This window comes from Homo sapiens, chromosome 6 (genome assembly GCF_000001405.40).
Source record: "Homo sapiens chromosome 6, GRCh38.p14 Primary Assembly".
NCBI lineage: Eukaryota > Metazoa > Chordata > Mammalia > Primates > Hominidae > Homo > Homo sapiens.
In genome coordinates, this window is record NC_000006.12 from 130,375,746 (window position 1) to 130,397,287 (window position 21,542).

Here is a 21,542-nt window from a genome sequence, read left to right on the forward strand (position 1 = left end):
CATTAGAAGGTTGCTCTTTTGGAGCATGATGTTTGAGGTCATTTATTAAAAATGAGTGTTGAGATGAAGAGTGCAAAGTATTACCTCACTGTAATGATGATATTGGTATTGGGAGCAAAAACAATGCTCACATTAGAGACTATATGTAGTTATGGTCAAGATATGTCATATATCACTATATGGCTGAAGACATTTCATATACAGTATGTCTCCCTACAAAGGGGTTTTAATATAAATATAACGTAAATATATTTAATAAATTTATAAATATAACTAAATATAAATAGCAATTTCAAAAGAATATATAGAGCTTAGTAAGTCCACCACAGAGTTTTTGTTATGTGAACTTGTATTCTTTAACTGAGCCTAGCATATTGACTTGTACATTATATACATTTGATAAATGTTGCGGAATTAACCATGTGGAATATTCTACTTGTAAGAAAAAAAATTAACCTCGGATATAAAATCACATTAATTATTTTCAAATTTATTTGTTATCACATTAAATAATTATCACATTCAATTAATTAATTATTTTTTGAGAGAGGGTCTCACTCTGTCACCCAGGCTGGAGTGCAGTGATGTGATTTTGGCTCACTGCAACCTCTGCCTCCTGGGTTCAAGCGATTCTTATGCTGGGACTCCACAAGTAGCCTCCCAAGTAGCTGGAACTACAGGCACACATCACCATGCCTGGCTAATTTTTGTATTTTTAGTAGAGATGAGGTTTCACCATGTTGGCCAGGCTGGGCTTGAACTCCTGATCTCACACAATCCATCTGTCCTTGGGACTCACAAAGTGCTGGGACTACAGGTGTGAGCCACTGCACCCAGCAAAATCACACAAAACAGTATTTTTATGAAAATACTAAGCCTTTTCTTTGAAAAGGAAAGAGATAATATGTTCCTTATACTCTAAGTATTAACAGTAATTTTAAATTGTATTCAAAATGCTAAAATTGAAATATTGAAAAATAAAAAATACACAAGTATAATCATCGTCTTCCTCACATACATTTTTTTTTCTCCCTGGTTAAGTAGGAATCTCTGGAAAGTCCACATTTTAGATAAAGATTTTATTAATATCACTTGGTCTTATCACACTTTACTTGACTTGTGGAAATTCCTTATTTATTTTGTGAGTCTCCCAACTCTCAAACTAACCTCTATTCAGAACTTTTCATGCATAATTGAATATAAGACAATAATAACACAAAATTAATGATGCTTGTTAATGAATATTTAGCTCAGTGTCTTCTGGGAGATCTATTCAAATATACTTATTAAGTCATCAGACATTTATTGACACATACTGAGTGCTGGCCATTGTGTTCCATGCTAAGAGCATAACAAGCTTTTCTCAAGAAACTCAGGCTAGAGAGCCATTGGGTAATACTTTAAGTACTTAGAGCAAGGGAAAGAGTTTTGCAATAAGATGATATATGGGACTCCCTGAGTCTACGTTGGGGTGGCAGTAATGAGGAGTGAAATTGTGAATTAATTCAGTAATTCCTTAAATCTGGTATTTGGTTAAGTGATTTGAAAAGACAGGTTACAAAAAAGAAGTCAAAGTTAAAAAGGCAGCACATGCCATCCATCTCCAGGTAACAAGGCCACCTGCATCCCAATTCTTATTTCTAGAGATACCATCCTAGGGATTCCCTGTTCTCCTGCCCCAACTGCCAGAATCTCATCTGTTTATTTGGCAGGAGACCCATCTAGCTGCAGGCCTCTGGGACTCATCCCTACCTAGAACCCCATGAACCCAGCCCTCCCTTCTTTATCCTCCTGCATGTGGGGCTGCATATTGACTCATTGACTTCAGAGTACAGTGACCTAAGCTGCTCCTCCAAGTCCTCCTGCAGTTTTGGATTGAAGAGGCCTCAATCCTGCTGCTTTCATTTCCAGTAGAGCCTCACTCATTTATACTTTTATTTATTCATTCAATAAACATTTTCTGAGTACTTACCATGTACTATTTTAGGCACTGGAAATATAATCTGAAACAAAACAAAGTTCCTGTCTTTATGAGCCTTATATTCCAGCTGGGGAAGACAGACAATACATGTATAATTTGTTGTGACAAATAAGAAGAAGAAAAATAAAGCAGAGCCCAGGGACTAAGAGCAGTTAGGATGGATGTAGAGTAGCATGGCCAAGGAAGCCCTCTCTGATAAGGTCTGACATTTGAGCAGAGACCTGAATGATGCCAGGGAAGAAATCATTAGTATATCCTGTGAAGGAGTGTGCCGCAGGAGGAATAGAAAGTGCAAAGGCCATAAGGAGTCAGTGTGTGGGGTGGGAGTTGGCTTGGACTGTGTGAGTAGCATTAGCATAGAGGCCAGTGTGATTAGAACAAAGCAGGGGCTCACAGAGGGTGTTGGCGTCACAAGGAAACTTTGGACTTTACTCTGAGTTGTATGGGAAGTATCTGCTAGGAGGCTAACCTTTATCAATATCACTTTCATGTGACCACATGATTTCTAAGAATATTGAATTAGAGTTCAGGCACATAAGTGGGGGTTTTATTGGGCCTAACCCTTACTTTTATTGCTAGTCTCAGAAGGAAATATGCAGTGATTAAAATCCCAGGTGTCTGTGTCAGTTATAGGCCTGCCTGATAGGGCCTGAACTCAAATTCAATGTTCTTAGAAATCATGTGGTCATGTGAAAGTGATATTGATAAAGATCTTGGCCGGGCATGGTGGCTCACACCTCTAATCCCAGTACTTTGGGAGGCTGAGGTGGGCTGATCACGAGGTCAGGAGATCGAGACCATCCTGGCTAACATCGTGAAACCCCATCTCTGCTAAAAAATACAAAAAATTAGCCGGGCATGGTGGCTCATGCCTGTAATCCCAGCTACTTGGGAGGCTGAGGCAGAGAATCACTTGAACCCGAGAGGTGGATGTTGCAGTGAGCCAAGATCGTGCCACTGCACTCCAGCCTGGGTGACAGAGTGAGACTCCGTCTCAAAAAAAAAAAAAAAAAAAAGATCTTGAGTAAGAATAGCCCAGAGAATTCCCAAGCCTAATGAGAGATATTTTACTTTGGATGGTGTATTAGTTTATTTCATGCTGCTGTAACATGAATATCACAGACAGGGTAATTCAAAAAGAAAGGAAATACATTTATCAAGTTCTGGAGGCTGGATTATTAGAGTGCTGGCAATATCAGGGTGCTGGCAACTGGTGAAGGCCTTATTGCTGCATTATCTCATGGCAGAAGGACGAGAGCATATGGGGTTGAACTCATTCTTTTTATGAAGAAACCATTCCTATAATAACTAACCCACTCCTTCCATAATGGCATTACTCCATCCATGAGGGCAGAGGCCTCGTGGCCTAATCACTTCTCAGAGGTTCCACCTCTCAACACTCTTGAATTGGGGATTAAGTTTTTAACACATGAAGTTTGGAGGACACATTCAAACCATAGGAGGTGTGAACAAAATTTTGTTGTTGATTGAGAACTGTGTGGAGAATTTTTCAGACAACACTGTGTTAAATTGGAAAAAATTACAATTTAGAAAAGGAGAAGAGGAGACTTTCTTTCTCATAAAGGGTTACAGCCTGCAGAGTGGCCATTCTGACAGGCTGGGAAGCATAGCCTCCAGCCAGAAGCCAGAAACAGATACTTAAGAGTGAGGGACAAAGGGAACAGGAATTTATGCTGAATGTGGTGGCCAAATAAGCATATTCAATAGGCCATAGGAGGAGTCATAAATATTAATGAAGGGAGAAATGTGCACATGCGTGATTGAGCTTCATGCCTCTCCATGGGTCCCATCTACAAAAAATGGTGGGGTTAACACGATCTGTGGGTGGACTTTTCCACCCTCCAATGTCAAACGGTGAAGCAGAGGATACAAAAACCCTTACTGCGCATTCTGCATAGACTGGCCAGAACCAGTTGGTGTGACTAGTTAGGGCATGAGTTCAGTATGGGGCACATTAAATTTGAGATGCCTGTGAGACATCTTAGGGGAAAGAGCACAGATGGGACAGATGGGGCTGGTGCTCAGAAGAGAAATATGGAATGGAAACTTAAATTTAAGGATCATTAGTATGTAGTTGATAAATAAAGCTATGGAGAGAATAAAGATTGAGAAAAGAAGGAGGCTTAGGAACAAGCTTTGGGAATTTCTACATTTCAGGGTGGATAGAGAGCATACCGAGAAGTAGCAGCCCTAGTAGGAGGAGAAAAGCTGGGGTGTGCTACTGCTGATGAAAGCTACGTGATATTAGCAATAAAGCTTTGTTTTGTTTGCACATGGTCCTTACTGAAGCCCTTTTTGAATATTTGGGTTCAGTTTCTTCAATTTAATCTATAAGTGCATCTCCAATGTAGTATAACCTTCAAATTTTTGAGTGAAATGGGATTAAAAGTTACTGAAAATCTTTTTTTTGAATTTCATGTCATAGTTGTTGATACTGTCAGAACAGAATAGACATAGTCGTACCTTCACAATAAAATAGTGATAGAATAGTGCATCTGAAGGTTAATTTCATGATCATGCTGATGACTAATATAATCTTACTGTCAACTCCATTGCTGCCTTCCAGTTTAGTAGGTCTTTAAACTTTTTTAAAGCATCTGCAGGCTTACTGCTAAGTGATATATTATTTTTGTTATAGGTGTTTTTAAAGCCACAAATAAAAGTTTAAGCTATTTGCCAGGACACTATAAGGAAAGTATAAAATTTAAAAAAGAAGTGATTGAATAGCTAGCAGAAGACTCTGAGGGCTACCTTGGCTTTTATTATGAATGCATTTTAGCTCATTAAAGTTGACGAGAAAAGACAACTTTTATTGGAGGTTGAATTTAGCCTTTTCATTTGGGAGCTTATCTTGGCCCATTCTGTATGTGATGGTGGACCCTGAGGGAACATCACATCCTTGTTCTTATTTTCCTACAGTGAAATACATAGCAGAGAGTCACTGGTAGTACATGAAATGAATATGAAAAAATTCAAAATCAGCCTTGTGTGAGCATTGTCTCAAGGTGATTAACTACATTTATTTTATGTTTCTCTAATCTACCAACATAATCTTTTTATTTTTTACAATTTTTACACTATTAAAATATTAAGGCTGAGTATGATGGCTCATGCCTGTAATCCTAGCACTTTGGGAGGCTGAGGCAGGAGGAATGTTTGAGCCCAGGAATTCAAGGCTGCAGAAAGCTGTGATCGTGCCACTGCACTCCAGCCTGGGAAACAGAGTGAGACCCTGTCTCTAAAAAAATAAAAATTAAGTTTCAGAAGTAATTTTTAAAATGAAGTTATCAAAGCACCTAATAATGCTTAATATATCTATAGTACTCTCTTAAGTTATAACTTAGAAGTATAAAGTGAAAACTCTCCTAGACTTTGAGTCATCTGGGAGTTAGCACAGTGCCATTCAGAGTCTCCTGTTTAATAAGAAGCCTCCAGTCAGTCCTTTGGCATCTTTCTCTTCTTATTTGAATGCTTAGAAGGGGAACTTATCAGTGGTCCTATCTGTCCTGGCATCTGTGTCTGTCAGTTATGGATGACCTTCATCAGCAATGGGTCATAAGAAGCAGTGCTAGATATTGCTGTCTGTATTTGATGATCCATCCTCTTGCCTGCCCCTAACAAAAAAATATAGTTTTGTTTTTTTTAAATCTGTGCCTTTGGGTGAACCATCTCTGAAGATGGCCCGTGAGGGAAGTGGCACTGTTTTCCTGATGAGAGAGGATATTTATATTTGTGGAAGTTGACTTCCCCTTGGACACATACATCAGTTGAGAAGTTGCAGAAAAACAAGTATCAGGCTCGGATTACAGTGCCAGAGACTAATTTTCCTCCCAGTACAACAATCAGAGAATGTCCACCATGTTTCTGTGACAACTGCAGAACATTGAGTGCGGGCTCAAAGCTGCCTTGTGCTATGCCATACAGACAGGATGATATTGTACCTGGATGATGGGAGGCTACCTCTTTGTTGTTGTTGTTGTTGTTGAGATGCACAAATTAAAAGTTTATGGAAAGACCATGTCATTTTAAAATTCAAGTCTAGGAAGCAGAAAGGTTTATTTGGTTTTTACCCTTTAGTTCCACAGGTTATCTAGTAGAATTTGAGAAATTGCTGACTGAAGGTTAACATTTGAAAGGATGGTTAACCGACCTGTCTGCAGCTTCTCTGATCTGTGGCTTCCTCTTCCGTTCACTCCAGAACACACTGCCATCTGGCTGCCTTGCTGAAGTGGCTCTCCTTCAAAGATAGTTTTAAAGATATATTGTGAACCTTTTATGATCTGGGCTACTTATGATTCAGTTGAGATTTTTTTTGGAAAAAAGAATCCCATTGCCAAGGATAATTTGAAAATCACAGGAGGATTAGAGCATTACTACCTAAGAGCTATGAAACCTTGGGCAAATTACTTCACCTTGCAGAGCTCCAGTTTAGTGTAGGGCAGCATGACCACCTTAGGAGGTTGGTGGGGGGCAGTATGAAAGGCCATGTAAGTGAAGATCTGGCACAGTGTGTGGCACAAAGTGGACACTGCCCAGTGTTGTTCCCTTCCCTTTCGGCTCGCACTTGCCTCTCTCCATTCCGTCTCACCTGGTTACACTTGCCCTGTGCACATGCATGCTCTACATGAAACAGCTGTTAGCTCTGCCTGGATGGGAAATCCTTGCTGGGGAGGCATTTTTCATTCTTCTAGACCCACCTTGAATTAGTGCATCTCTTTCGTGGAGTCTTCTCTGGCCTTTCTCAGGAGAGTTGGTTGCACCTTCCAGCACCTTCAGGGTGCTTTGCTCATGCCAGCAGATAAGCTTGTATGAAATGATAGTGACTGGTCTATCTTCTGTCTCTATCCTAAACCCAGGGCTATAAGTAGTAGAAGTGGACTTAATCTCCTCAGGACAACAAAGAGAGTTGAGTGGAGAGTGGAACATGAAAGATTTTTTTTTCCTTTAGTGATTTTACCACTGGCAATGTTACCAAAAATTAGAGCCCATTTCAGCTCTGTTGATGGAGAATTGAGTGCTTGATTTTTGGAGACTAGTGGATGGATTCAGGGTAATGACTGAGCCCCACTAAAAGTATCCCCCTTCCTCTGGCCTTCAAGAACTTCTTCCATCTTCTTGGGGAAGGGGCGAGCTAGTGGCATGAAGCAGGAACATTTGTGTTATTTGTGAAGTCACTTGTCTGTGGCCTGGTTCCTCGAGGCACCTGCTTTGCCTCCCTAGTGACTCTAGATCAGGAAGCAAACCATCTCACCCAAGGGGCTGTGTGAGTTCCTTGAGGCCAGGCATGATGTTACACTGTGTTTGTGACTCCTCCTCATGGCCTACATCTATTTGCTCAGGCATTATTAAATTTGTCACATTCAATTGAATTAGGACGGCACTCCATGGGATTCATTAGTTGTCCGTAGCATCGGGCAAGACAGTTCCACTCAACTGAGGAACACGTCATATCAAACCAAGGGCATTAACTAGCTCAGAAAAAGAGCCACCCTAGCCTTGGAATTTTTCTCTTCCCAATTGCTAGGAAGTCAGCAATGCCATCCTGAAAAGAATGAGACACTGTGAGGTGAGCAGCAAGTTCCAACATGCTGGCATTCCACAACAGCCAGATGGGAAGTATTTATGACAGGGGATAATCTGCTCCCATTCTTGGCCTTATTCACTTTGATGTTTTGAAACGTTCATGATGCCGTCTTAATAAAGTTGAAGTTTGAAAACTTGAATGTCTGGCGATGGCAAATAATCTGGTTCCCATAGCCATCTTCACTCAGCTGTGTATCCAGACATAGCTTTCTGGATCTCTGAAAATACTGATCAATAAATTATGAGCTGTTGTGATTTAAAACGCTAGTAAGTATTTTTAGTTTCCTTTTAATTTTTAGTGTTTTAACAAATCACAGGTGGTTGGCATCAAGGTAAAAATGAATATGAAGACATGGTGAATACTGCCTTCATTATGAGTATAAAAGATTATTTTTTCCTTTTTAAAATGTTTTGAATAATTCTGACAAGTATTAAAACTTTGGAGGCCATGGGACCCATAGAACCTCGTAGGAATAATTTATTCAAATTATATGAGAAAAGAAGAGGCAGGGAGCGGTGGTTCATGCCTGTAATCCCAGCACTTTGGGAGGCTGAGACGGGGGGGATCCCTTGAGGTCAGAAGTTTGAGACCAGCCTGGCCAACATGGTGAAACCCCATCTTTACTAAAAATACAAAAAATTAGCCAGGTGTGGTGGTGCACACCTGTGGTCCCAACTACTTGGGTGGCTGAGGCACGAGAATCGCCTGAACCCAGGAAATGGAGGTTGCAGTAAGCTGAGATGCCAACACTGCACTCCAGCCTGAGTGACAAAGTGAGACTCTGTCTAAAAAAGAAAAGAGAGAAAAGAAGAAATCACTTGTTAAGTACTTTCTCAACGTTGTCAGTTGTTGTTAGTCTTTTATAAGAAATAAGCTTACCGTTTGTGAATGCTTTTTGGTAGTTTATTATAAGCATTTATCATGTTACTGAAATTTTTGTAAGCATGCCTTTGTAAAGGCTGTATAATGTTCTGTTACCTGTGTTTTTATTTTTGTTTTATTTATTTATTTAAAGGTTTGCCCAGGCCAGAAAGCGGTAGCATGATCATAGCTCACTGTACCCTCAAATACTTGTGCTCAAGTAATCCTCCTGTCTCAGCCTCCCGAGTAGGTGAGACTGCAAGTGTATGCCATCACACCCAGTGAATTTTTTAATGTTTTGTAGAGATGGGGTCTTGCTATGTTGCCAAGGCTGGTCTTGAACTCCTGACCTCAAGGGATCCTCCTACCTTGGCCTTCCAAAGTGCTGCAATTATAGGTGTGATCCATCCTGCCTGGCCAGAAAATTATTGTTTTAATTAATAAAAAAGGAAATGTTAATTCTTGTGACACTTCAAACTTTCCTTTGTAGTTTCCTTGATTCAGAAAGGAATAGCATGTTTCTGATATGTATCATTAGATATTTTGTATTTTCTATCAAGCTTAACCTTTGAAGTGATGATCAAATCACATTACAATGAACTGGTCAATGGGTAGGTAACTCTCCTATAAAATTTTCTGACAGAATTTCTTTTCATTTTCTTTAGAAGTTTGAGGATGTTAGACAGTTTGGGATTGTTTTTGCTTTTCTTCTAATACACAAAAATTTACATTTGGAGTACATTTATTATCTTTTTGCAAATGGATTTATCTCTATCATAGCATCTCATCTGGTGGCAGAAAGAAACACATGACCATTCAGTCATTTCTAATATATTCTTTTGGATATAAATGTGGAAGAAAGTAGTCAGACAGAAAAAAGTAGAAAGAGGATTTGATTTGTTGACATTATGCTTCATGCATGTAAATTTGCGACATTGTCAGTTATGGAGCTCACATAATAAAAATTCTTAATTTCTTAGCACACAGAGCCGCTGAAAACGACTGAAGAGAGCAAGGGATTTCCTGGGACATCTGGCTCTGGAGGTGAGCGACAGCAGGGAATGACGTCAGGGACCTGGGAGACTGATCACCTGGATGGTGACTTTTTATGATGATTTTTTTGTAATGAGTTTATTCTTCCAGTGAGCTAACAGAGTTTATTAGTGGGACTTTGTCAGGCAATTATTTCCTTAGCTTGGTTAAATAAACCAGATGTCTTATTTGGACATTTCAAAGTTCCTTGCAATAAGCATTTTTAAATTAAGATAGAGATAGGTCTCTGCTCTGGTGAAACACTCACTGTAAAAATAATTGTATAGGTCATTTTATAGAGTAGGCTGTTTTAGCAAGACAGCTCCTCATTCCTCTCATTCTTTTCTCTCCACTCAAATCCCCAAGAGAAAAGGCCCTTAATTAGAAGCTCATTGACTACAGAAAAAAATAATTTTCTTTGCTCTTCTGTAATTTCAAAATTACATTTGTTCTGCTTGGAATAAAAGGAGGTTTATACCTTGTAACCTGTAATCTTTCATGCTGTTTTTGTTTTTGAAAACTTCTAAGAGTCTGAGCATTAACCATTTCATGATGCTATGTAATCTCATATTATTTTACATAAACTACAGAAATAATTTGCAGATGAATTTTTAGGGATCACCTTTTGCCCTTTGGCAAAAGGTGCCTTGAAATGCAAAATGAACAGTTGAGAAAACGATCCTTAAGTTGAAGAAGAAAATCCCATGTTTCTGAAATAATGTTGATATCCTGAAGAAAATTGTTTTGTATATTGGTAAGGGGACTCTTAAACTTCAATTATCTAGAATTTTTCTCTATTCTTTATTTCACTTGTGTGTATGTATCTAGGTGTGTAACTTGGTTTATAAAACAACTAACATTCAGTTTTGGGAGAAAATAATCTATTGTATTGAGAGAGCTTTTTGGCTTTCATTCTCTGAGTAATCACAGCCCCTCTAAGATACCTCTAAGATAAATGATCTCCAATACAGTAAATCCAGGAGCTTGAACAGGGACCAACCTCATTCACTGAAGCTCAGAGGAAGGGTCGGGGTATGTGGGAATGTTTTCTGTGTGCAGCACTTGAGTGTTTCAAAGTCTTCTTTGCTAAAAGGGGTAGCCACTGAGTTTGCTTAGAACGGGGCTGAAAACTGCTGTGGACCAAAATTCTGCTTGTCAGAGCCAACTGTGATTGCTCTAAAGATGCACCTTTTATAAGCTACTCTTAGAGTCACTAAAGGAAACTATGTTATTGTCAGCCAAAGACTGGCACCTGGGAATTGAAATTGATGATCTTTTTAGACCTTTAGAGAGAACCTAGGGAAGAGATTAGGAAAGTTTACCCTCTTCATCTTAGATGTCTGGTTTTTCCTTCCACATGGATGCAAAATTGTTCCAGTCCTTACCCTTTTCAAACATCAACTTCTAGTGCAGAAAGGAAACCATAGATCTTTAAAAGATACTCTAGGTGATTAGCATTAAGATTTTGTTTTCACCAAAAAATTCCGACAAACAAACCAAAAAACCCCCAAGAAATTGTAAGAATGTCGTTTCGACAGATAGGAGCTTGGAGCATTTTCAAATAAAACAAATTTGCCTTGCATTAACTTACTGTTACTTTAAAACTATGCTCAAAGGCATATTCCTTTTTCTTCGCCAGCATCATTTGGAAGCCAGATCTTTTTATAAGGCACTCCTGCATTACTCCCAGGCACTCTTTCATGGAGAACCTATTTCTAAACCTGAAACCGTCCAGTTATGGTGGAGGCAGTCACACAGTTCATTCATCAGTAATCCTTTAATGCTGTTGAAGTGAGTGGGCAGAAGAGGGCCTTTAATTATCAATGCTAAGAGGACTTGATCTTTAAGATTCTTTCTAATTGTGCCATTTTGTGACAATATGTGTTTCTTATATGAAGGTGGTAGTGCAAGACACTGAGATGCCTAAGAGGAAAGGATGTTTTTTACCTGTGTTTATAGTAAAAATAATATAACAGCATTAAAGTCTATTGCAAAATCTCCTATAATTTCTTTGTAGCAGAATGGATATTTTTATTTGGATAGAGTTGTGTTTGTTTGTTTGTTTTTTGACGGACTCTCGCTCTGTCACCCAGGCTGGAGTGCAATGGCGTGATCTCGGCTGACTGCAACATCTGCCTCCCAGATTCAAGTGATTCTCCCACCTCAGCCTCCTGAGTAGCTGGGATTACAGGCACCCTCCATCATGCACGGCTAATTTTTGAATTTTTAGTTGAGATGGGGTTTCACCATGTTGGCCAGGCTGGTCTCGAACTCCTGATCTTAGGTGATCCGCCTGCCTCGGCCTCCCAAAGTGCTGGGATTACAGGCATGAGTCACCACACCCAGTCTGGATAGAGTTCTTAAAAGGGTAAACAACTCTTTTCTTTTCTGTTTGAATGCAATCATGTGGACTTGGCCACATGGCTTCTTAAGTCTTGTTTGCATTTGCTTAAGCCAACAGCACTCAAATATGTTAAGGGAATTCTAGATTGAAATTGTGACTTAGTTTCCACACTCTTAATTATGTTTCCCCAAAACAGTTATGCATGAGGCTCTTTGGCAACTAGACTTGAGAATATTTAGGTTTAAAATTTCTTACTTGAGTGGTTTAGAGCCCTATCCAACTTCTGGTGTCTTTTCTCTTAAAAAGCTTTTAAAATCCTGTTTGCCTTTTTCAAGGTAGGAAAGAATACAAAAGTGTAAGGGTAGGTATTCCTAAGTCTTAGAGAATTGATTTGCGGTTAGTTTCTGATTCTCAAAATAATTTTCCTTTCACAGGTGGAAGTTTTCATGATGGGAGTTGAAGGTAGCATAGCAAGTGCCGCTCAGGAAAGGGGAGAATAACAGTTTAAAACTTAGTAAGTTTATTATACTCTGTACTAGTGGAGATCCCTTGGAGATTCCTGCATCGGTTTTAGAAATTAACCAAAAAGAAGGAAGTGAAGGAGTTGAAGTTCTAGGCAAGCAATAAGGCTTGATTAAGAAGTTGGAAAATGTGAAAGGAACTAGGATTATTCTGGAGAAGGGAAGGCTTATAATAATGGCTTTCAGATGCTGTAGGACTCAGATATCTACTTTCCTAGTGAATAACCAATTAAAAAGAAAATAAACTACAACATTAGGATATTAGCTGTGTAGATGTTTCCCAAAGTGATAACCCCCTGGAATGAATTATCAAGACAGGAGTTATATCTGCCCTCAATAAGGAACATGAGGCATAGCCTCAGGGTGTGACAATTCATTGCTTAGATAAGTTCTGTTTCTGTAGATGTTAAATGTGGATTCTCGCTTGTACATGTTTTCATTCATGCATAGTATTTCACAATCTAAATTCATATATCCTTATTTTTTTATATTTCTAATAAGATGATTGGTTCTTTTGCTGAGTGGCATAAGTAGATACTCATATTTCTCAATCTTGTCATCAGAAATGATGGCTATTTGTTTTTATATTTGTAAATATATAGTTGATGTTTACATTAAATAGTTCATTACTCAATTGTAAATACTAAAATTGGCAAGAATGAAAAAATAAAACATTAGAATATCCTTACAGAAAGTATCATTGCCCCAGTTTGTGGGAATTGCATCAACCACTGCAGATAAGTGTGTTTATAAAATCACCTAACTCATGACATTTGGCACATCAGCAAGTAGCAATAATTTTAACACTAATTAGTATATTTAAGAGAAATTACTTACAAAACCTAAATCATGTTTTGAACAATGATTTCTTGAATAGATATGAGATAAAATAAATTTTATAGAAAATATAAAATACATATAATATGAAAGTAGCACTACGGTCTAGCTCTATTATCTTTAGATAAGTCAAAGATATTGTCTTTGACTCTCAACAAAGTAGAACTGTAAAATACAGTTTTAGATTCGAACTATAGATTGTTAGATTTGGATAGACTAGAAGATCTTGTAATGTAGTCCCCTGATTTTACAGATGAGCAAATGAAGATTTAGTATTGATAAAAATACTAAATGTTTTTGGTGAAATGACCACAGCTTTTTACCCAGTCACACAACAAGATATAAGTGGAAGCAGAAGCAGTTATGGGCTCTCCTGATTTCCAGCCCTGGGCACTCCCTCCTGTAGTGCACTGAACAGAAGGTCAAGTGTAGATTTTGAAACGGGCAGTCTCTTGACACTGTGTCACGTCTTCCCTCAACTCACAACTCTATATCCTACGTAAAGAACAATGTGAGAGAAAGAAGAGGTTATAAGCTTGAAAGTGATAAAGTTAATATGTATTCTAGGACCCTCTACCAAAATATTTTGAATAGGAGGAAAGCAATAATATAGCTTGTTAGAATTTTGAGAAATTCTAACAATAATATAGCTTGTTAGAATTAATGAGAAATCATTAATTTTAGATACATAATATCACAGGCCAGATTTTAACACCAATAATAACAATAATATAGCTTGTTAGAATTTTGAGAAATCATTAATTTTAGATACATAATATCACAGGCCAGATTTTAACACCAGCAGTGGGTTCAGAGAGATCCACAGAACTTCAGATTTTCTCAGAAATTTCAAAACTACTCAGTAAAATTTCCAGCCCAGTTGTGCTAACTAAGGGACTCAGATTGAGATTCCCTGGTTTCATTTTATTACATGGGCTTCCATTGTTAAAGTTCTAGGATCCCCATCCAGTTCTTTGTTAATATATTTTACTTTATGAGAACAATTAGCCGGGTAAAAATTGCTCATACTGATAACGAAGAGTTACTAATAAAAGTTATTTTGCTTACAGGTTCATTAGGCACTTGTCGAGAATGGCCAGAAACGTGTTTTGGTTTCTTAGATGTTCTGTTTAACCATGAATTGCTGTAAATGCTTATCAGTTTTCAAAAAAAGTATAAAAAATGAAATGCCCAACAACCCCCAAATTATTTTTGAATATAATTTAACTGTTTTTTCACTTACTAAATCTCAGGATCTGATAGATATGATTATAAGTCATACAGTTTTGTTTAATTAATCTTTGTGGTTTGAATGTTGGAGAAATAAGATCTCATTATACCTCTGTGTCATCTATTATAGTTTTAACCTAGAAGCATTCCGAAGTTGTAAAACCATAGCTGTAGAGCAAATTCAAATGTGTTGTGTTTTGGTGAAATGACCATGGCTTTTTACCATATCATCTGAATGTAACACACGTTGTGTATCAGAGCAGCCCTATGTGGGCTACAGTATGTCATTTAATCTCAGTGAGCTCTTTCTGACTTTACAGAGTGAAACTAGTACTGCCTACTTGATAGGACTGCTGAGGATTAAATGATAAAGTATGTTAAAAAGCTTGACAAACCTTAGTATTCTTTATACCCTTAAAGGTACAAATCCTGTCTTTTTTATGACTATTTCTCCTCCATAGCATAGAGGGGAATGTGTTGCATATAATAGTATTTCTTACTTAATACTGATAATGGAGTGAGACTATGAAAAGCAAATACTGCATAGCAAGGAGGAGATATCTGCTAGAATCAGATATTGACATATTAGCTTGGCAAATTGCTCCTTCTAAAGTCAGCTTCCATGTTGGTGAGGCTGCTTTGAATCTCCCAGGCACCTTTGAGTTTTTGTTCACTGCTCTGCTCTCTGTCAGCTCACCTTCATCACAATAGGGTTTCTCAACCTCTACACTATTGACAGTTTGGACTGAATAACTTTTATGCATTGTAGGGTGTTTAGCTCCATCTGTAACCTCTACCTACTGTGTGCTAGTAGTGCTCTACCCCAAGTTGTAGCAAAAAATTGTCTCCAGACATTGCCTAGTGTCCTCTGCGGGACAAAAATGCCTCGGAATGAGCACCACTGCATACATACAGCAGTCACTGCTTTGTGATGTAAATATCAGTTTACCTGTGCCCCTTCTCACCAGACTGCCAGCCCCTAGAGGGTAGTGTGATGTCTTTCTCTGGTGCCACAGCTCGGACACCCATAGAAGTGCAATAAATGTGGAAAGAGAAAAAGGTTTAAGAAATACTTAAAGAAGTTATCAGTTATAATACCTATGTTGATTCATTATATGCAGTGGATTTTTATTTTGTTCTGGACCAAAAAGACAAGGACTCACCATAACCTCAGGTTTCTTTCCTGAAACCATTAATGCCACCACCTTCTCAGATCTTTCTCTTGCCTATGCCCCATCATTGATATAATTAGACAATGTGTTCACTCAAAGAAGAGGGAAATCTGGGATAGGATACCTGAGATGTTAGGCTTTAAGGACCAGGCAGAAATTAAAGGCATCTTTCTCTCTCTCTCCCGCTCTCTCTTAAACTCTGTAGCAATTCCCATACCCAGGCTCCAACAAATAACCGGAATATCCCCAAATATATTATCTCTAGCTTAGAACCTACCTGTTAGCTCATAGTATTACTAGAGGTCTCCTCTTGTATATTTCACAAGGTCCAGAAACAGAGACCCAGTATGCATAAAACTAAACTCACCATCTTATTTCACTTCTTTTAAACCTTCAAGATTCCTTTTTTTTTTTTTTTTTTTTTTTTTTTTTGAGACAGAGTCTCGCTCTGTCGCCCAGGCTAGAGTGCAGTGGCACGATCTCGGCTCACTGCAAGCTCCACCTCCTGGGTTAACACCATTCTCCTGCCTCAGCCTCCCGAGTAGCTGGGATAACGGGTGCCCGCCACCATGCCCGGCTAATTTTTTGTATTTTTTAGTAGAGACAAAGTTTCACCGCGTTAGCCAGGATGGTCTCGATCTCCTGACCTCGTGATCCTCCTGCCTTGGCCTCCCAAAGTGCTGGGATTACAGGCGTGAGCCACCACACACGGCCAAGATTCTTTATCCCAGGGAATGGTGTAGGGGTTCTGGAGTGAGAATCTTGCTTTGCTATTTAATAACCCAGTGACCTTGTACAGATTACCTACCCTCTATCTCATTTTCCTTATCTGTCAAATTGATACTGATCTTCCAGTGTTATTGTGAAGATCAAATTAGGTGATGCATGTAAGTTACTTAATGAGGTAATGCATATAAATCACCTAGAAAACAATGCATAGCCTGTTGAATAAAAGTAGATGTTATTATCTCAAAACAAGCTTCAACCAAATACTTGAGAGCTGTTTCTTACTTTTGCCCTCACTATTTCCCTGTTCCCACCCATCAAGTTTCTACATTTTCTTTATCCTGCCTCCCATTTCAGTGCAGTATGCACAGTTCATTCTTGCCCATTTCATTTCCAGTGCAATAGCTTCAGTGCAGGCCTTGATCCTTTTTTACCCAAATCATTACAGCAGTAGCCTTTTAAGCCTTTCCGCCTCCGGTTTCACTGTCAGCCTATCTGTCCATTTTCTTGATGCCTGTACAGAGATATATTTTTTAGTGTCTCCCATCGCCTAGTAACTCAAATCCCAACATGCTTCTATGCCTTTGTGTTAGCTGTTCCCTCCTCTTTTTCTTCTCTTTTCTTTGTTGAGCTAACATGTACTCATTTTTAAGATACAGCTCAAGCATTTCTTCATCTTACAAGCAACACCTAACCACCCTTCCCTGAGATCACTGCTATACTTTGTGCCTGTCTTCTTACCACAATAGCACTTTGTGCACATGTACTTTCTAGCACTTACGATGCATAACTTGTGTTTCTTGATTTATTTCCCCCACTAAATTGTGAGTTTTTGACATCTCATTCATTTTGATTCCTCATTTATTTTGGTTTTTACAGTGAGTAGCACATTTCTTGACATGTAGTAGGTGTTTAATAACTATTTGTAGTTCAATACAGCTAGGATTCCATAAGATTGAATCAGACAGTATAGACTTACAAAATCATGGGAGCAAAACTGTTTAAGAATTCATTGATGGAATTAACCAGCCAAATTGTGAATGAAGAAACCATGCAGGCATCTCTGTTGGATAGAAGCGAGAGATCAGTAGATACCCAAAGAGAAGCTAAAAGCTGGGATCTTATCAGAGGTCCTAGCTGAGTAAGTTAATCGGCAGTAGGTAGTAGAGAGAGGAAGACCAAGGGATCTGGGTATTAAGTCATGCTGTCTTCTTTAATTGTCCCTAATTTTAAGGAATTTGATCTTGTAAGGGAGAAATACCAGAAGAGAAAAAAAATTAATTCTGACAATAGAGTGCTATTTAAAAATATATACCTAGTGTTATGGCAATAGAAAATGAAGTAATTTTTCAACAAATGTTGTCACATCATTGCCTGTGGGCCAGAAATGACCAGTTAAAATATCAGAGGTGGGTGTGCAATGGGCAGACGTGTTACATCAGTTTTAAGTCCTCCAGTGTCAACACGGCTTCACATGCGAGCCTGAGCAAAGATCATGTTCATGGGGTCCGAATGGGTTGGGATCACGTTGCTTCAGCCGCCAATGGTGATAGTGTTTTGTCATTTTCTGTGTAAGCATAATTTGTAAATTAGTTTGCTGCTAAAAACAATAGTCTGAAGAGTCCTTTTTTCAAGATTATTTTCCAGGCCCATCATGTAAAACGGGAAATGGTGTACAGTTTTCTCAGCACTGTAGAGATGACCAAAACACCATTTAGTAACATCACTAACCATTTTATGCCATGATGTCTGAAAAGAAGAAATCCTGATCCAGGAAACAATTGCTGCATTGTCCAAATACATCATCTTTAAAATTACATTTGAAACATCTCTAACCATGGTTTATTTATTGGAATCTCATCCCACCCTTTGAGTAAAGAGTTTTCTTCCTGTCTTGATCCTACAGATTGAATATCACATATGCCTCTTTGATTGGAATGATGAATGAGTTTCTGTTCCCATTATTTTACACTGCTGTTGAGTTGAAATAGCAACAAATCACATCCCTAGTTGTATTTAGTGATTCAATATACTGTACTTGGGATTTCATTGTTAGGGTTTGAAGTCAGTATTTGTCCATTTCTCCAAACCTTATACCAACATCAGATTTGGATCTTGATTGTTCTATATTGAGGGAGCCAACATCCTTCTCCTGAACCCAGCCTAGAGTCTGTAAGCCTGAGACTGCTTAAAGAGAAATGCTGAACTGCTATGCAAAAAAGAACCTTTATCAAGGCTTGATGTGATTTTTGCTGTTTCACAACTGTCATATTGAAATTCCCTTTCGCACCCACAGAAGGGAATACTTACCTCTGCCAGCAGGTTTCTGTTGGGAGCTGGAATGCATCCCCGTAAATACTCAGAGTGGCAGGGGTGGCAGAGCTTTCTTCTCTCCCCACGCTGCTTCTGCTTTTGGCAGAGGCTCGAATATTGGCAGGGGCACCCGCCTCTGCACAGTCTGCTCTGGGGAGGTGGGGGATTCCTCTTACTTCCAATTACCAGTTTCTTTATATGTGGGAGGACATTTTTTGGCAAAGATTATCCTCTTCTCTTCATGTCTGGCTGACAGAACCCTTGCTAATTTATTTTTTGGCATCCCTTATGCATTTGTTAAGATGTCAAAAGGTACATACAAAGCACTGAATTGAAGACTGCGTTTACATTCTGGAGCTTCCAGTAGGCATGCATGAGATGTTAGAAGCTATCTCTCTGGAATAGAAGGTATGGTGCAGGGTAAACAGAGGATAGTGGGCATGGTTTACTTGCCTTCTTGCAAAAGCCTTAAGGCCCTTTAGTGAACAGTGAATCACAGAATCCTAAACTTGTACGAGGGTAAGGATATGAAAGTTCATGTGATTATTGCCCATTTCTCCTGGAAATTGAGGCCAGGAACAGTTACATGGCTTGCTCAAGTCCAGCCAGCTGACCAATCAGGAGCCTCCTGATAGAGCCTCCATCGGTATCCTAGTCTTCTTTCTTTGTCCTGTGTAATTTTCACTGTATTGCAATGTTTTGAAAGTAGTAGACACTCAGGAAATATGTATTAGGTCTACTCAATACCTATCTTCATAGCTCCTTCCTGCATATAGGATGGGAAAATTTCCACTCCCCATTTCCCTCAGAAACACGCACACAGAAGATTCTGACAAGCTATCCAGCCATACTGGTTGGATTGCTTATAATTCTTCTAGCTAGATTGAGTTGCCTAGAAAAGAGGTCATTTCAGTAGTTTTTCCCTTTCCCAAGTGGGATGGAACCCTTAGTTGAAGAGCCCGTGTCAAAATCAATCTGTAATTTTGGAGGCTGTGGAAAAGCAGCTCCAATCGCCTGCCCTGGACAGTCTGTTCTATTAAACTTTCTGAAACATTAATAGCAGATTTGTGAAGTCATGCTAAGAAAGAACAGATCTCAAAAATGGTCTCTTCAGAGGGAATGATTATTCGAAACAACTAATTTGAGGTAAAGTAGCCCTGAAAATGTTTCGGGTATGGTTGAGAATCTTAAGTAGTCAGCTAAGTAATTTTTTTAAAAAAGCTTTCATTAAACCTGATATTAGGAAGTGATTTAAACAAATAAATTGTTAAAGAACGAAATTTCTGTTCATAACAATTGCTTTTAGATCACAGGTCAGATGGAGAAGGTTTTATTTGTTAATGACAGAACAGGATCATCCCACACACTTTCTTGAGGGGATTGCGTTATGTATCCAAGAAGATAATTCAAGGTGGATCAAAGTCGTTGAATTTAAAGCAAGTGTTACGCTTAACAGCAGTTTAAAATACTGAACTAATAGTACTGTGGTCATGTAAGACAATCATTTTGTGATGGCAGTTCTAAAGAGGGCTTGGCTATCCAGTTGGTCATAGTGCCTTTAGTGGCTAAAACTTAACATTTAAACAGCTCCATCTTTCTCTCTGGAGTAAATATGAAAATAGTGAAAAGGGATACTTGATGTTGGAATCATTTTCAAAGAACAGTCTTAGACATACTTTAGTTATAAACTGTATGCAAAGCCAGTATGGTTTAATTATTTTTTCTTTTTGCCTAAAAATATCAACTAAAGCTTTTACAAATTTCTCTACTCTCAGATTTTTTATCTATTACGTTAGTATTTCTAATGCTTATGAACATGGGGCCAGCAGTTGTTGCCTGTAATGGGTGCTCTGAAAATGCTAGTGATGATAGAGGTTTAGAAAAACTTAAGAAAAACCTTCTGCACTAGTTTTTTATTTATGTATTTTTGTTTGTTTATATTTTTATTGGAGCCTCAAAAAATGACTCAGAACTTATTTTGGATTCTGACCAGTCTGTTTTTTTTTTTTTTTTAAACTAAGAATATTTTCAATTGGTGAGATAAAGGTTGTAAAGAATAAAATATCTCAGGAGGAAAGGAGGGAATTTGTTCTTCTTGTCATTAGCTTGGTTTTAGGAAGATAATACTTTTCTTTCTAAAAAATCAGATATTTTGGAAAAAATATAAAGAAGTAAATAAATGTTGGCAGTAATCTATCCATATTTTGAGCATAGCCTTTAAAAAATATCAAAACCATATACATTATATATACACACATATTGTATATATATGCACACACATTTATACTTTGTATATTTTTAAAAAGTGAAATCACTCATACTTTTTAATATGCTAAGGTTTTATATTTAATAGTGAAATATTTCAGGTATACAAAAATATACAGAGGAGAGAAGGCACCTACCCATCATCCAGGTGAAATTTAACATTTTGTCATTAGAAAATACTGTAAAAATACTTTTTAAGAAATAAAATGAGAGTCCAGAAGGTACTGTTGGAGGCTTCTTCCCCCGGCATTCCATGTTTCACCCTCCTCAGAACCAGTAGGATGTTGTGCAGCCTTCACCTCTGCTTCATACTTTTACTTTCTGTTTGTACTTACAATTATTTATAGCATTGTCTTATGTACGTTTAAGTTTACTTAAATGATTTCCTAGTTCACATGCTCTTTGCACATTTTGTCATTAAATATATTTTTTGAATTTAATCAGATTAATACTTGTAGCTCTAGCTGATTATTTAAACTGCTGTGTAGATTACATGGTTATATCATCCATCCCTTATTGATGGGCAACTATTAATAATTCATTTTCAGTTTTTCCTTATTACAAACAATATTGCAGAGGACCTCATATCTCCTTACACATGTAAGATTTCCTAAGATTTATATTTTCAAGTAAAATCATAGATTAAGGGCAGCTT

General features: G+C 38.1%; 1 protein-coding gene across 9 annotated transcripts in view; it reads left to right on the forward strand.

The window, feature by feature from the left end:
• The window catches only part of TMEM200A (transmembrane protein 200A), a 77,537-nt gene that overhangs the window by 10,215 nt on the left and 45,780 nt on the right, over nucleotides 1-21,542 (forward strand). For 4 of the 9 annotated variants that reach the window (XM_005266816.4, XM_047418151.1, XM_047418152.1 and 1 more), the window contains one exon: nucleotides 9,428-9,491. The exons of 3 other annotated variants lie outside the window; for them this stretch is intronic. The gene's annotated coding sequence lies outside the window, so the exon portion shown is untranslated. Of the gene's footprint in view, nucleotides 1-9,427; nucleotides 9,492-11,572; nucleotides 11,848-18,727; nucleotides 19,769-21,542 lie in introns of those variants that run through there. 2 more of the 9 variants (XM_047418153.1, XM_017010230.3) reach the window with 2 other exon arrangements.